Raw genomic sequence first — 16,747 nt, forward strand, 5'->3', positions numbered from 1 at the left:
GAAGTTGCAGTGAGCCAAGGTTGCGCCACTGCACTCCAGCCTGGGTGGCAGAGCAAGACTCCATCTCAAGGAAAAAAAAAAAATTAGCCTGATGTGATTTGCTCCTGTCATCTCAGCTACTTGGGAGGCAGAGGAGACAGGTGGATCACTTAGGCCGAGGAGTTTGAGGCTGCAATGGGCTATGATTGCACCACTGCACTCCAGCCTGGGTGACTGAAACCATGTCTCAGAAAGAAAAAAAAAATCATCTGCAAACGGATGAGTTTCAAGAGCCGAGTGTCAGGCCAAGGCACGGACATAGCTTCAGAGTGTTGGAAGTCAGTGACAGAGTCTTTTAATCACTACTGATTACAAACTTTTTTTTTTTATTATTATAAGTTTTAGGGTACATGTGCACAATGTGCAGGTTAGTTACATATGTATACATGTGACATGCTGGTGCGCTGCACCCACTAACTCATCATCTAGCATTAGGTATATCTCCCAATGCTATCCCTCCCCCCTCCCCCAAACATTTTAAGGGCATTTTTACAATTCCTTCATCAAGGGGAGCTGGGGATATTCTACGTCAGGTATTCTGGCGTGACTTTTTCTTTTGTGGAGCTTTGCTTTCTGAGACCTTCCCAAGTGGCCTGGAAGGCACTGTGTGGCTATAACTTTTTTCTAATGAGCATAGTATGTCTTTGGGTACAGCGTCTGGTCAGGGACACACTGTGGCCTTCCCTATGATTGTCCGCAGGGAAGAGACCGAAATGCAACCCATAAAAAAAGTCGTTCCATCAGGTTGAATTGACAGTGCAGGTTTGCACTGTACCTTTCCCATACTGTGGTTAAAATGGAAATCTCTTTTCAAGAAAAGTTTCATAGGAGAAAAAGTTTATCAGAAACACTCTGTTTAAGGAGGAGGGAGGATAAGGTTTACTGCCTGTAATATGCATGGAATATCCTGCTGTAGGGAAGCCATAGTGTTTATATATTTTTCATTTTAATGAGCCTGGTCCTTATCTTCTTTTTTGTGCGCGTGAGACGGAATTTCTCTCTTGTTGCCCAGGCTGGAGTGCAATAGCGTGATCTCGGCTCACTGCAACCTTTCCGCCTTCTGGAAGAAATTAGCTAGGTATGGTGGCACATGCTACTTGGGAGGCTGAGGCAGGATAATCACTTGAACCCGGGAAGCGGAGGTTCCAGCAAGCCTAGATCACACCATTGCCCTCCAGCCTGGGTGACAAGAGTGAAACTCTATCTCAAAATAAATAAATAAATAAAAATAAAAAGTTATTAAATATTCAGAACTGCTAACCCTAGAGCATCCGACATTAAGTTAGCATAGTTCCTTCCTAGCATGTGTGTAAGCTGAGTTACTACCATAATCCAGTTTAGATACCCTGCTTGTTTAACAGAGACTTAGGCCTTTGAGGCAGTGGATTGTGGGGTAGTAGGTGGGTCAAGAGAGAGGTAGGTGGTCAAGTGTGGCAGACATGGCATTTCAAGGTGCTTGGGAATGTGTGCTGTTGGCTCTGATGGGGCCTCTGCCCAGCAATGCTCTGGTTTCAAACCGTGTGCACTGTGGAGCAGGCCCTTCTTGCTGGTACCTGGGAGGGTGGACCATGTCCAGCTGCCACTATTCAGGAAGCTGCTGGTCTGTACAGCCTTTCCTTCCTGTAGTTTTTGCCCAGGACCTTTCCTTTTGTGTTAGATGTGCCATGTTATCTGGAATAATACTTGAATGATACTTGACATTTTGTTTTTTTGGTAAACATTAAAAAAAATCGTTTTGTTGCTTGTTCTGAAACTTGTAACTTTTTTGCTTCTCAGGAAGGTGATTTTTTAATGTTGCATTGTTCATGATACAAACTCAGAGAAGCAACACCATCTGGAAAAAAAGTCCTTTTTTGCATTTTAGTAAACAAGCTGCATTTATTTTTAAAAATTCTATTTATAGGAAGAATAAAAACATTGAGTAAGAGCGTGCTGTCCTCTGACTGGAATAAATGAAATTTAGTGAATAGACCTGGACATTTATTTTGGTTATTGAGAGCCCTTTTGCTCATTCTCCAATTATTTATTTTCACTAAAGCTACTGTGTAAATGACTTCATCATTGAAGCTTACCTAGTAAGATAAGTGCTACTACCTATTTTTTTTTTCTACATACCTATAACAAAACCAGGGAAGAAAATTGAATGTAAAATTAACCACAGATACAAAAATATACTTAAGCGGGGTTTCTAGTGATGGGAAAGATGGAAATATATTGATTGGCATTTCATTTCATATCAAGAACAGAATGTTGAGGGAGGAGATAAAACAAAAAGTCAGTGATCAGATTAAAGTATATTCCTAGACAATATATAATATTGGGAAGGGTATTTAAACTTTCTGCTAAGTGACGAGCTACAGTTATTAAGTTGCAGTGCCAGTTTCCCCAAGGAAAAATGGAGAAATCATATTTCTGAAGAGGTGGTCAGTTTCCATATTACTAGTGTATAAAAATTTTAGTTTGAATGAAAAGGAAACAATATCTCTACACGTGTTTTTTCCTGTTTATATAATTAGTATATAATCACGGCATTTATTTGTATGAAATCCAGAAATCAAGTAGATTTCTTGATTTACCTTTTATGTATATTTTTTCTTCCATCTAGGTAGACGTTACATCCAAGAGGAAATAATCCAGGCAAGGAAGCACAAGCTGATCAAGATGTGTAGTTCTGTGGCTGCCAAGTTGTGGTTTTTGACAGATCGTCGCATCAGGGAAGACTATCCTCAAAAAGAGATTTTACGAGCATTGAAGGCCAAATGTTGTGAGGAGGAACTGGACTTTAGGGCTGTGGTGATGGATGAGGTGGTGCTGACAATCGAGCAAGGAAACCTGGGTAAGTCTGTATACTAAGTGATCTTTTGGATTTTTACCTAGAATATGATGAATCTGCATGTTTTAGGAATAATTAGGACAGAGGAATTCTTAGCCTTGTCATTACTAAGTATCTTCTAATTATAAGGTCTAATATATTTTATGAAAGTAATATAAACACTAATATTTATTAACTTTATTAGGAAACAGTTGTGAGGGAAATTAAAGGTGACCTTCAAAACAGATAAACAATAAAACAAAGTAGGCGCATATCTGTAGTTCCAGAGGCTAAGGTGGGAGGATCACTTGAACCCACAAGTTCGAGTCCAGCCTGGGCAACATTGTAAGACACAGTTTCTTAAAAATAAAAGTAAAGATGATTCTCAAGTTCCTTTCATTTTTACTGTCTTCTATTTTTAAAATACCTTGTTTATAAGGTGCTGCTAAGGAAATTTGTATCTTTGGAGGTTCTTTGATTAGTACTTGATTAATAAATTAGATCCATGTGATTCCTTTTTATAAAACACTATACATGTAATATAAACTAATACGGTTTTATAGGTGAAAGTGTCTTAATGATTTAACTCAATTGGTGATAAATTTTTCTAGTATTTTTAATATTTCATATTTGTTTTGGGATTGTAGGGGAAGATATCCTAGAAAAGTATAGAAATTCTTTAGTATTAATTTTCAGAAAACTAAATTTTTGCTTTTGAAAGTTTTATGGCTTACTATAGCTAAATTGGTAGTTTCTGTCAGGGAGCATTATATGGTGTCATATAAATGGACTTTTTGACTGGCTTTCAGAAAATACTTCATAATTTAATGATAGTATAAATACATTTTAGATCACTTTCTTCCTTTGTGACTAGAATTATACTAAGCCCCATGATTTAATTTCCTCATCAATGAAATGGAGAAAGACAGTTTTTGTGAGAATTAAGGCTATGCAAAGTACAATAAAATCTTACCTTTATCTGCCATGGTAGGATAATTTCATTCACAGGCTAACAGATCCAGAATCTTGTCTAAATTAAAAATGTTACCATAGGTTGAGTATCACACTAAGTATAATCTCTTAGCAAGCATCACTTTTATTTTCAATCCTCTTGTAACATTTATTTATTTCATCCACAGTACTTTTGATCAGTTATTGTTGCCAGAAATGTTTCTTTGTTGTTTTGCTTAAATGGATAAGTGCTCTTGTTCTTTTTTTTTTTTTTTTTTGGAGACAGGGTCTTTGTCACCAGGCTGGAGTGCAGTGGCACTATCTCAGCTCACTGCAACCTCTGCCTCCCAGGTTCAAGTAAATTCTTGTGCCTCAGCCTCCTGAGTAGCTGGGATTGCAGATGTGCACCACCACGCCCGACTAATTTTTGTATTTTTAGTAGAGACGGGTTTCACCATGTTGGCCAGGCTGGTCTCCAACTCTGAACTCAAGTGATCCACCCACCTCGGCTTCCAAAAGTGCTGAGATTACAGGCATGAGGCACCATGCCCACCTACTCTTGTTCTCTTGAATGTAGTTACTGCCTTTATCAGGATGATGCTCACTATTTTATTTTCAGTGTAATTCTCTTTTCAGTATATACTGCCTGGGTCCAATACCTAGTTATTTAGATTCAGGAAATCTGGGATAAGAGTCTACTTCATTTTTTCATTAAGTATTATTTGAGCATTTACTATGTGCTGGATAGTGGTATGGTATACGAAATAAAATAAAGTCCTCATATATTCTAAAGGATGAGGTCAACATTAGTCAATCACACAAATAAATGTAAAGTTATAACTGGTAAGTTATGAATGAAAAATGTGAATGTCACTTTGAACCCCTCTCACATTTGTGACGAAGATCCTTGATCAAATCAAGGTAAATCTCTAAAACTCAATATTTGTGACATGCTTGTTCAACTTACACAGCTTTTTCAGTGTAAGTGTGTATGTACAGTTATTATTGAAATTGGAGTCAGAAACTCAGACACTTAGTGTATTGGGAGCCATGTTCTTGAAGTCTGCATGAGAAGAGACATGCCAGTGTAAAACGTTAGTTCACTCAACACTACTCCTACAAGGCTTCTGGTGGTTGGAAAACCAAAGGTTACAGCCATAGTTCCTTATGAAATCTAGTGGCTACTAAGTAATAACACAAAATTTGGGAGGTAGAAATGGGCATCTCTATTTTTTAAAAGTGTGTAGGTTGAAAAGGATCTAGGGTTGAAAACCATTGCTCTTGATATTTTTCCCAGTTACCTAGTGAACATTTTCACTTTATTCTCAAGTGGCATTTCTGTGCCATTCTATCACAGTGGAACTTGCTTTTTTCCATCAAAGCTGTCTTGTTATTTCAGCTTCTCTGTCTCTGTTTGTAATATCACCTTTCTCCCATTAACCTAGCCTTACCATTAACATGTCTTTTTTTTTTTTTTTTTTTTTTTAATTCACAAGAGCCAGTATGCTACAAAATTTTTGTTGCTTTTTCCTTCTAAGCCATAACTGTTCTATCTTCTCACTATCCTGGCTCAGGCTATCATGGCTTCATTTTTTTTTTTTTTTTTTAGACTAAGAGTGAAGTTTTAATTAATAGTAAAAGAAAGAGAAAGGAGATCAGCTCTCCTGTGAGAGAGAGGGGCACCTGAGTGGGGCTTCCCATGGCTTCAAATTTTAATGACTTTAGTTAGCCCTCTAGCTTTTTCTTTCTTTTCCTTCTTTTTTTTTTTTTTTTTTTTTTTTACTTTGAGACGGGGTCTCGCTCTGTCACCTTGGCTGGAGTACAGTGGTGCGATCTTAGCTCACTGCAGCCTCAACTTCCCAGGCTCAAGCGATCTTCCCACCTCAGTAGCTCTTTCTTTTTCAAAATTGTGTTTTCCTCTCTAGCATTTTCACATCTTCATTAAACACAACTTTTATCATCTTAATATTGTTTTAAAAATCTTCAGAAGCTTACTTTTCCCCTGTAGTGTTAAATCTAATTTAAAAATTTTTCAGACTTTTTGTTGATGTGTCTCCTATATATTCAGGCATTTCTAGGAGGGTTTTTCTTTTTTTTTTTTCTTTTTTTTTTTACATTTTTTATGTATTATTTAACTCTCATATCTTATAAGGGAGGTGATATTACCATTATGCAGATGAGGAAACAGCCTCTTTCACAGAATTAAGTGGAGAAACTTAAACAAATTGGGATAAGGGAAATGTTCTAAAATTGTGGCTATTTTGCATAATACAGTGAAAATACTAAAAACCACAGTTCTGTACTTTAAATGGATGAATTTTACAATATGTGAATTATATCTCAAAGCCGTTTAAAAAATGTTACACGTCATTTACACATTATCTGTGCAATGTTTTCACAGTCAGGTTAAAGAGAGGGTATAGTTGTAAATGAGTAGAAGGCATAGAAGTTCTTTTCCTTTTCCTTTTTTTTTTCCCTCATTGCCTCTCCCTTTGTGTCAGTGTATGTAAAACTGCTCTCTTGAACTTCTCTTACAAATCTGTTCTAGCTCCAATATTAGTCTTTTCTATTAATGGTGTCCTATTCCTAGCCTAAGCTTGAAGAAATCATGGAGTCAACTTTCTTCTTCATTCTCCCTTACTTCCAGATATAATGTAAAAGGCTTGTCTGTTTTGTTCATAGTATATCTGACATAATGTCTGTTCTTACTACTGCTAATGAAATCAAAGTTGCCTGAACTATTACAGTAACCTCTAAATTTGTTTCCACTTTAAACTCATCTTCTAACGTACTGTAGTCAAATTAATCTCTCGGAATTATGGCTCTAGTTATATTTGCCTTTCCCAAATCCCCTTTATGTTTTTATTGCCTAATCCTCCAAGTTTTTTTTGTTGTTGTTGAGTATCTTCATCGGTTAAAAACTTTTGAAACATTCACCCCAATATACGCCTATTTTAAAATAACGAATAATGTACTGTGCTGTTGCCTGTTGTAGCACTGTCCTTGGGCTAGCAGAATTGTATTTTCCTTGTTCATCTCTTTTACTGACAGTGTGGCCTTGGATTTTCAGCCTCTGTGCCTCAAATTAAAACCATCTCCCGGTAGCAAGTGTGCTGATTTTTCACAACTATCCCACTGTAGTCAAACTACTGTGCCAGCTATTCCATTTCCTCTATGGAAATGGAATCAGATCTAGGTAAAAAAGACCATAGATTTCCATTGTTGATACCCAGTGTTCTAGCAGGTTTTTGTTGTTGTTGTTTTAAATGTGTCTTAATTTGTCTGTCTTTGATTAATTACCAGAGCTCTGAAATAGAATTGACAAAAATATTTCCAGTTTTATGCTTGTTCTTTGGGGTGAAGGTTTGTCGACCTCTTTTTAAAAATATAACTGCGGCTGGGCACAGTGGCTCATGCCTGTAATCCCAGCACTTTGGGAATCCGAGGCCGGCAGATCGCGAGGTCAGGAGATCGAGGCCATCCTGGCCAACATGGTGAAACCCGTCTCTACTAAAAATACAAAAATTAGCTGGGCCTGGTGGCATGCGCCTGTAGTCCCAGCTACTCAGGAGGCTGAGTCAGGAGAATCGATTGAACCCCGGAGGTGGAGGTTGCAGTGAGCTGAGATAGCACCATTACACTCTAGTCTGACAACAAAGCGAGACTCCGTCTCTCTCTCTCTCTCTATATATATATATATATGTGTGTGTGTGTGTGTGTGTGTGTGTGTGTGTGTGTGTGTATAATCATTTTTAGAGTAATTTTAGGTTTACAGCAAAATTAGGCAGAAAGTACAGGGATCTCCTATGTATCCTCTGCCCACATACATGGATATCTTTGCCCCATTTTGAACATCCCTTACCAGAAGGACATGTTTGTTGAACTTGATGAACTGACATGACACATCATCATGCAAAGTCCATAGTTTACATTACTGCTTACTCTTGGGTGTTCTATAGTCTGTGGCTTTGGGCAAATGCATAATTACATGTATCCACCACTGTGGTATCATACAGAATAGTTTCCCTGCACTAAAAATCCTGTGCTCTGGCTGTTCATTCCTTTCTCTTTCTCCCTCCTGTTCATCCTCCTCCTTCCCTCCCTCTCACCCATCTCTTGACAACCACTGACCCTCTGACTGTCTCCACAGTTTTGCCTTTTCTAGAATGTTATAGTTGGCACTGTGCAGTATGTAGTGTTTTCGTATTAGGATCTTTCACATAGTAATATGAATTTAAGGTTTTTCCACGTCTTTTCCTGGCTTGAGAGCTCATTTCTTCTATTGTATAATTATATTTCATTGCCTTCATATACTGTAGTTTATTTATTCAACTGCTAAAAGACACCTTGCTTCTAATTCTAAGCCCTGGGATTATAAATTAAGCTGGGTTTTTTTGTTTTGTTTTGTTTTGTTTTTGAGATGGAGTTTCGCTCTTGTCGCCCAGGCTAGACTGCAATGGTGCGATCTCGGCTCACTGCAACCTCCACCTCCCAGATTCAAGCGATTCTCCTGCCTCAGCCTCCCAAGTAGCTGAGATTACAGGCGCCCACCATTACGCCCAGCTGATTTTTGTATTTTTAGTAGAGACGGGGTTTCACCATGTTGGCCAGGCTGGACTCGAACTCCTGACCTCCGGTGATCCGCCCGCCTCGGCCTACCAAGGTGCTAGGATTACAGGCATGAGTCACAGTGCCCAGCCTAAGCTGGGTTTTTTGTCTTCCAATTTAATAATTATTGAGGATCTACTTAGTAATGTGGGAGATTCAAAATAACTATTACAAGTGCTTAGATGCTTAACAGCAAAAAGATATATAGAAAACCAAGTAAAAATACAAAATTGCATTCATGAAATGCCTGTTTCATAAAGGACAATGTACAAGGTTGTGGATACAAGGATGGAAAAGACAAAATTGTCAACTCCTGAGGTTCTTGTTCTGATAAAGGAGACTGACAAGGAGTCTGGCCTCAAGGTAGGGCCTGGTTGTGAGTAGAGATAGATCATGAGCTGTTTTCATATTTGGGTTACTTGGGAGTGAGTGTAGGTGTGCACCAAGGATGGTAAAGAATGAAGCCTTCATTCAAAGCAAGATTGGTACTGAGACTTGGTGATAAGTTTGGTATAGCTAGATGATGGAACTTTCAGTGCCAGGATAGAGTCCGGATTTGAGCCAGTAATGAAGACATTTTTCAGTTGTGAGTAGAATATAGAACATTAAGACATTGAGGACATATATTTTGACACCACAAAATCCATATTAAAACACATTCATTAGGAGAATATGAGAAGTCATATCATCAGTAACATTCTTTTTCTTAGTTTCTTTTGATGGGTAAAAGACCTAATTAAAAGGTACAAAGTTGGATTCATACTTTTGAGTTCAATCTTTTGACGCTTAGTGGTCAACTAATATTTGAGAAACTTTTATGTGCCAGATACTTTCCAGTGTATAATAGTAAATAAAGGGTCTCTGTTCACATGGAGCTCAGGAGTCTAGTAGAATTAAAGACTATAAACTATACTAAGCAGCTGAGGATGCATTTTAATTCCCTTTGAGGGTAAAGTATCATTATCCCTCGTGTGTGTGTGTGCGACACGGAGTTTGGCTCTTGTCGCCCAGGCCGGAGTGCAGTGGCGCGATCTCGCTCACTGCAACCTCTGTCTCGGGTTCAAGCGATTCTCCTGCCTCAGCCTCCCGAGTAGCTGGGATTATAGGTGCCTGCCACCACGCTCAGCTAATTTTTGCATTTTTGGTAGAGATGGGGTTTCACCTTGTTGGCCAGGCTGGTCTGGAACTCCTGACCTTGAATGATCCGCCCCCCTCGGCTTCCCAAAGTGCTGGGATTACAGGCATGAGCCACCGCGCCTGGCCTACCCGTTTTAAATAAGAGATTAAGAAGCTTGCCTATGGCCTTGTAGCTAGACACAAAGTGAGACCCCTTTGAATATTATGTTATGCTGCCTCAGAGTCTACTGGGACAGATTTAATACCCTGGAACCAGGTAATTTTTAAAAGACTATTTAAAAACAAAAATGTTAACCAGTGACTCTTCCAGAAGTGCTAGGATATGGTTTAAAAAGGAGACTGTTAATAGGTAATGTCTGCCTTTTGAGAGTTTAATTGTAATGTGTTTTGATGAAGATCTCTTTATAGGCACACCTTGGAGATACTGCAGATTTGGTTTCAGACCACCACAGTCAAGCAAATATCACAATAAAGCGAGTAACACAAACTTTTGGTTGATGGCTACTGACTAGTCAGGGTGGTGGTTGCTGAAGGTGGCTGTGGCATTTTCTTGAAATACGAAAACAATGAAATTTGCCCCATTGACATTAAAGATTTCTCTGTAGCATGTGATGCTATTTTCCAACATTTTACCCACCGAATTTCTTTCAAAATTGGAGTCAGTCCTCTTAAACCCTGCTGCTGCTTTGTCAACTCAATTTATGTAATATTCTAAATCTTTGTCGTCATTTCAACAATGTTCATAGCCTCTTCACAGGAATAGATTCCATCTCCATTGGAATGACCATTTGGTCATCTGTAAGAAGCAACTCATCTGTTCAGCAATCTTCATGAGACTGCAGCAGTTTAATCCCGTCTCAGGCTACACTCTCAATTATAGCTCTCTTGCCATCTCCACCACATTTGCTGTTATTTCCTTCACTGAAGTCTTGAAGCCCTCATAGTCATCCATGAGGGTGAGAATCAGTTTCTTCCACATTCCTATCAATGGTGATATCTTGACCTTCTCTCATGAATTATGAGTGTTTTTTGTTTTTTGTTTTTTTTTGAGATGGAGTCTGACTCTGGCACCCAGGCTGGAGTGCAGTGGCACGATCTTGGCTCACTGCAACCTCAGCCTCCTGGGTTCAAGCGATTCTCCTGCCTCACTCTCCCAAGTAGCTGGGACTACAGGTGTGTGCCACTATGCCTGGCTAATTTTTGTATTTTTAGTAGAGATGGGGTTTTGCCATGTTGGCCAGGTTGGTCTCAAACTCCTGACCTCAGGTGATCCACCCACCTCGGCCTCCCAAAGTGCTGGGATTACAGGTGTGAGCCACCGCGCCTGGCCTATGAGTGTTCTTAATGGCATCTAGAATGATGAATGCCTTTCAGAACTTTTTCAGTTTACTTGCCGAGATCTTTTAGAGGAATCACTGTGGCAGCTATAGCCTTATGAAATGTATGTCTTAAATTATAAGATTTGAAAGTAGAAATTACTCCTGTTTGTCAGCTGTCTCACAGAGCTAAAAAAAAAAAAAATTACTTCTTGATCCATGGGCTTGCAGAGTCCATGTTGTGTTAGCAGCTATGAAAATAATGTTAATCTTTTTATACATCTTCATCAGAGCTCTTGGGTGACCAGGTGCATCATCAGTGAGTAGTAATATTTTGAAAGGAATATTTTTTTTCTGAGTAGTAGGTCTCAACAGTGGGCTAAAGATATTTAGTAAACCATACTGCAAGCAGATGTGCTGTCATTCAGGTTTTGCTGTTCCACTTAGCACAGGCAGAGTCCATTTAGCATAACTTTTAAGAACCCTAGGATTTTTGGAATGCTAAATGAGCATTGGTTTCAACTTACAGTCACCAGCTGCCTTCGCTCCTAACAAAAGAATTAGCCTCTCCCTTGAAACTTTAAAGCCAGTTATGGACTTCTCTTTAGCTGCTATCAAAGTCCTAGAGGGCATCTTCTTCCAGCAAAAGGCTGTTTTGTCTACATTGAAAATCCATTGTATAGTGCGGCCACCTTCATCAATTATCTTAGCTAGATCTTCTGGATAACTTGCTGAAGCTTTCACATAAGCAGCTGCCGCTTTACCTTGCACTTTGCACTGTGCTATACAGATGGCTTCTGTTCCTAAATCCCATGAACCAAACTCTGTTAGATTCAAACTTTCCTTCACCTCCGTCAGCCTTCAAAGAATTGGAGAGTTAGGGTCTTACTCTAGATAAGGCTTTGCCTTAAGGGAATGTTGTGGCTGGTTGGATGTTTTATCCAGACCACTAAAACTTTCTCCATATCACCAATAAGGCTGCTTTGCTTTCTTATCATTCATGTGTTCACTGGAGTAGCACTTTTAATTTCCTTCAAGCACTTTTCCTTTGCATATACAACTTGTCTAACTTTGGCACAAGAGGTCTAGTTTCTGGCCTGTCTCACCTTTTAAAATACCTTCTTCACTAAGCTTAATCTTTCAATTTAAAGTAAGAGATTGTGTGACTCTTTTTTGCCCTTGAACACTTAGAGCCACTGTAGGGTTATTAACTGGCCTAATTTCAATATTGTTGTCACAGGGAATAAGGAGGCCCAAGGAGAGGGAGAGAGATGGGGAAGCCAGTTGGTGGAGCAGTGAGAATGTACACATTTATTCAGTTTGCCCTCTATGTGGTTGCAGTTAGTGTCGCCCATTTATAATAGTAACATCAAAGATCACTATAACAGATATGATCAAAATGGAAGTTTGAAATACTGTGAAAATTATCAAAATGTGACACAAAGACACAAAGTGAGCACTTGCTGTTGCAAAAATGACACTGATTGACTTGCTTGACACAGGGTCGCCACAAATCTTCATTTGTAAAAAACACAATAACTGCAAAAGGCAATAAGTTAAAGCACAATAAAATGAGGCATGCTTGTATATTTAATCTATTTGGAGTTTGCTGGGCTTCATGAATCTAGATGTTTATTTCTCTCTAGATTAGGGAACTTAAAAAAAAATAAACTGTTGTCCTTTTGTCTTTCTCTACTCCTTCCGGAATATCCATAATGCATATTATGGTTCACTTGACACTGGCCTGTAATTCTCATAGGCTTTCTTCAGTTCCCTTTTTTTTTTTTTTTTTTTTTTTTGGAGACAGAGTCTTTCTCTGTCGTTCAGGCTGCTGGAGTACAGTGGTGCAGTCCTGGCTCACTGCAACCTCTTGCCTCCTGGGCTCAAGCAATCTTTCCACCTCAGCCTGCCAAGTAGCTGGGACTACAGGCACGCGCCACCATGCCTGGCTAAGTTTTGTTTTGTTTTGTTTTGTTTTGTTTTTATGGAGTTGGGGTTTTGTCAAGTTGCCCAGGCTGGGCTTAAGCAATCTGCCCACCTCAGCCCCCAAAATGCTAGGTTTGTAAAGGTGTGAGCCACCACACCTGGCCATTCTTCAGTCGTTTTCATTCTTTTTTGTTTCTGTTTCACTGACTTGGTAATTTTGGATGGTCAGTTTTCAAGTTCGCTCCCTAGGGAAGATTTTCAATTCTGTCATTTGTTTTCTCTAGCTGTAAAATTCGTTTGATTTTTAAAGATGATTCTCTTTGTTGAACATCTCATTTGATTCATTGATTTTTTTTCTTCCTGATCTTGTTTATCTGTATCTGTAAAATTATTTTGAATTCTTTGTCAGGTACTTTGTAAATCTCCATTTCTTTAGGATCATTTACTTTTGCAGTATGTTATTATTTGATGGTGTCCTTTTTTCTGATTTTTTTTGTTTCCTGATCCTGAGGCCAAGTGTTCGTGTTTGTGTAATTGGTGATGTGCACACTTATTCCAGTCCAGTGGCTTTAGCAGAGAAAGCCTTTGAATAGTCAGCTCATGCAGAGATTTCTGTATGGTGTGGTGTCTGAGTGGTTTGGACTGCCACTTGGGTCTGCAGCACTGGGCCTGGAGTCTAGCTTCATAAGTGCTTCACTTAGACCCTGAGCCTGAGTCTGCAGGAGCTGGCCAGGTGTTGGGATAGGCTTGGCACCTGGGTCTACAGTTGCTGACCTGACAGTGGGATAGGGCTGGAGGCTGGATCTGCAGGTCCTGGCCTGGAAACTAAGTCCTCAGTTACCAGTGTGGGATATGGTGCTGTGGGGAACTGCCTGTCACTGGGTTTTACTGATATAGGGCTGGTGTTGGGATCTAAGGCACATCTGTTACTTGCTTCATTCTCCTGCTTAGGGTTAGTGGAGGGCTGATGTAGGTAATGTGACACTGTCCTTCTTACCCTCTTTAATGCATTTGTCTTATTTCCATGCTACACCCAGGTACTATAATTTCTCAGTCGATTTTTTAGCTCTGATAAATGTATTTTTGTGGTAGTTGTTTAAACTGTTGTTTCTGTGAGATGACAAACACTGGACCATCTTATTTCACCAGCTTGCTAACATCCAGAAGAAAATTACTTGTTACACACAGACATCAGACATTCCAGGTCCTGATGGAGGTAGGCTTCTCATTCAGGTGAAGACTTTTCTGAAAACTCCATGTGTAGACTGTGTGCTAGTTACAATTTTCTCTCCCAGGAAGGCAAAGGATGCTCTACTTTCTTTTTTTTATTATTATTTTTTGAGATGGAGTCTTGCTCTGTTGCCCATGCTGGAGTGCAGTGGTGCGATCTTGGCTCACTGCAACTTCCACCTCCCCGGTTCCAGCGATTCTCCTGACTCAGCCTCCTGGGTAGCTGGGATTACAGGTGCACGCCAGCACGCGCAGCTAATTTTTGTGTTTGTAGTAGAGATGAGATTTTGCCATGTTGGCCAGGCTAGTCTCACCTGACGTCAGGATGCTCTACTTTCAAGTCATCCTAGAGTTGCATCTTCCCAAAGTCTGCCCCGGCCCCTTTGCATATGTTCTCAGCCTGCGAGGCACACCAGCCCTGGCAGAGGCTGCAAGGGGGCAGGTAGGAGCCAAGGGGAGCCCTGCTCTGGAGTGGCTGCTGGGTAGGGCTTTAGCGCCATATGAAGCTGGTTTAACCATCTATGTTCAGGTATGTGTGGGCATAAATTTTCAACTCCTTTTGGTACACACCAAGTAGCACAGTTTTCCTGGACCATATGGTAAGAGTATGTTTACTTTTGTAAGAAACTGCCACACTGTCTTCCAGGGTGGTTGTACTGTTTTTGGTTCGTTTGTTTTTTGAGACAAGGTCTCACTGTGTCACCCAGGCTGGAGTGCAGTGGTGCGATCTTGGTTCACTGCAACCTCCGCCTTCCAGGTTCAAGCGATTCTCCTGTCTCAGCCTCCCGAATAGCTGGGACTACAGGCATGTGCCATCATGCCCAGCTAATTTTTGTATTTTTAGTAGAGACAGGATTTCATCATGTTGGCCTGGTTGGTCTTGAACTTTTGGCCTCAAGTGATCTGCCCGCCTCAGCATCCCATGGTGCTGGGATTACAGGCATGAGCCACTGTGCCCGGCCCAGGTTGTACTGTTTTGCATTCCCACCAGCAATGAGAGTTCCTGTTGTTGCACATCCTCTTCATTGTTTCGTGTTGTCAGCGTTCTGGATTTTGGCCAGTAAGATGTAGTGGTATCTCTCACTGTTAAAATGTGCAGTTACCTGAAGACATGACATGAAGCACTTTTTCGTATACTTATTTGCCATCTGTATATCTTCTTTGGTGTGGTGTCCAGGTCTTCTGCCCGTTTTTTTAGCTGGGTGGTTTATTTTCTTATTGTTGAATTCTAAGATCCCTTTGTATATTTTACATAACAATCTTTTGTCAGTTATATTATTTGCACATATTTTCTCCCAGACTATAGCTTGTTTGAAAATAATACAGCTGTTTTTCTACACTTTCTTTTGGTTAGTGTAGCATGGTATATCTAGCATGGTATATCTTTCTCTATCCATTTGCTTTTTTATTTTTAATTTTTAAACTTTTAATTCTTTTATTTTTTACCCACAAGTTTACTGGGCCATTTTATTCTTTTTTTTTTCATTTTATTTACTGTTAAAATGTATGTTTGTCTATATTTACAGTAAATTTTCTTATAGATGGCACGTAGTTGGGTCTTGTTTTTTGATCCACTGACAATCTCTGTATTTTAATTGGAATATTTAAACCATTGACGTTTACAGTGCTGTTGATATGGTTAAATTAACATATCATGTTTGTTACTGTTTTCTCTTTGTTACCCCTGTTTTTCTTATTTTTGTCTTCCATTCTTTTTTTGCCCTTTGTCATTTTAATTGAGCATTTTAATTCTGTTTTCCCTCCTTTCTTGGCATTTCATTTATGTAGCTTTTTAAAGTGGTTACCCTAGGGTTTGCAATATACATTTACAATTAATCTAAGTCCACTTTTAAATACCCACCTCATGGGTAGTGCAAAATATTGCTAATTCCTCCCACCAGTCCCTGAGATCATTGCTGTTATTCATTTCTTTTAAGTGTTATATGTAACTGTATGTGTGTGCCTGCACGTGCACACAGACACACACACACACAGAGTGATTATACACGCAATCAAATAAAGTTGGCACTTTGGTTTGTTGTTGTTGTTGTTATTATTGTTGTTTTTGAGAGAGACAGAATCTCTGTTGCCCAGGCTGGAGTGCAGTGACATGATCTTGGCTCACTGCAACCTCTGCCTCCCAGGTTTATGCATTTCTCTTGCCTCAGCTTCCCAAGTAGCTGGGACTACAGGCGTGTGCCACCACGCCCAGCTAATTTTTGTATTTCTTTAGTAGAGATAGGGTTTCACTATATGTTGATCAGGCTGATCTTGAACTCAACCTCAGGTAATCCACCCGCCTCGGCCTCCCAGAGTGCTGGGATTACAGGCATGAGCCACTGCACTCAGCCAAAGTAGGCACTTTGTATCCATGGGTTTTGCATCTGAATTTCACATTCACAGATTCAACCAAATGCAGATCAAACATCTAGTGTTTTTGGCCGGACCTTGTTGGCTCATGCCAGCACTTCGGCAGGCTGAGGCGGGCGGATCAGTTGAGGTCAGGAGTTCAAGACCAGCCTGGCCAACATGGTGAAACCCTGTCTCTACTAAAAATATAAAAATTAGCCAGGCATAGTGGCGGGCACCTGTAATCCCAGCTACTCAGGAGACTGAGGCAGGAGAGAACTGCTTGAACCCCAGGGGTGGAGGTTGCAGTGAGCCAAGACTGTGCCACTGCATTCCAGTCTGGGCAACGGAGTGAGACATTGTCTCAAAAAAAAAAAAA

At 39.9% G+C, this 16,747-nt stretch overlaps 1 protein-coding gene across 43 annotated transcripts in view; it reads left to right on the forward strand.

The window, feature by feature from the left end:
* Positions 1–16,747, forward strand: part of RIMKLB (ribosomal modification protein rimK like family member B) — a 114,454-nt gene that overhangs the window by 42,529 nt on the left and 55,178 nt on the right. For 25 of the 43 annotated variants that reach the window (NR_123740.2, NR_147945.2, NR_147946.2 and 22 more), the window contains one exon: positions 2,645–2,875. Coding sequence is in view for 36 of the 43 variants with exons in the window: in XM_047429188.1 (XP_047285144.1) it covers positions 2,701–2,875 (175 nt within the window). In the remaining 7 variants the exon portion in view is untranslated. The remainder of the gene's footprint in view (positions 1–2,644; positions 2,876–16,747) is intronic. The other 18 variants (NR_147947.2, XM_047429191.1, XM_047429192.1 and 15 more) reach the window with 1 other exon arrangement.

Source organism: Homo sapiens, chromosome 12 (assembly GCF_000001405.40).
Source record: "Homo sapiens chromosome 12, GRCh38.p14 Primary Assembly".
Taxonomy (NCBI): domain Eukaryota; kingdom Metazoa; phylum Chordata; class Mammalia; order Primates; family Hominidae; genus Homo; species Homo sapiens.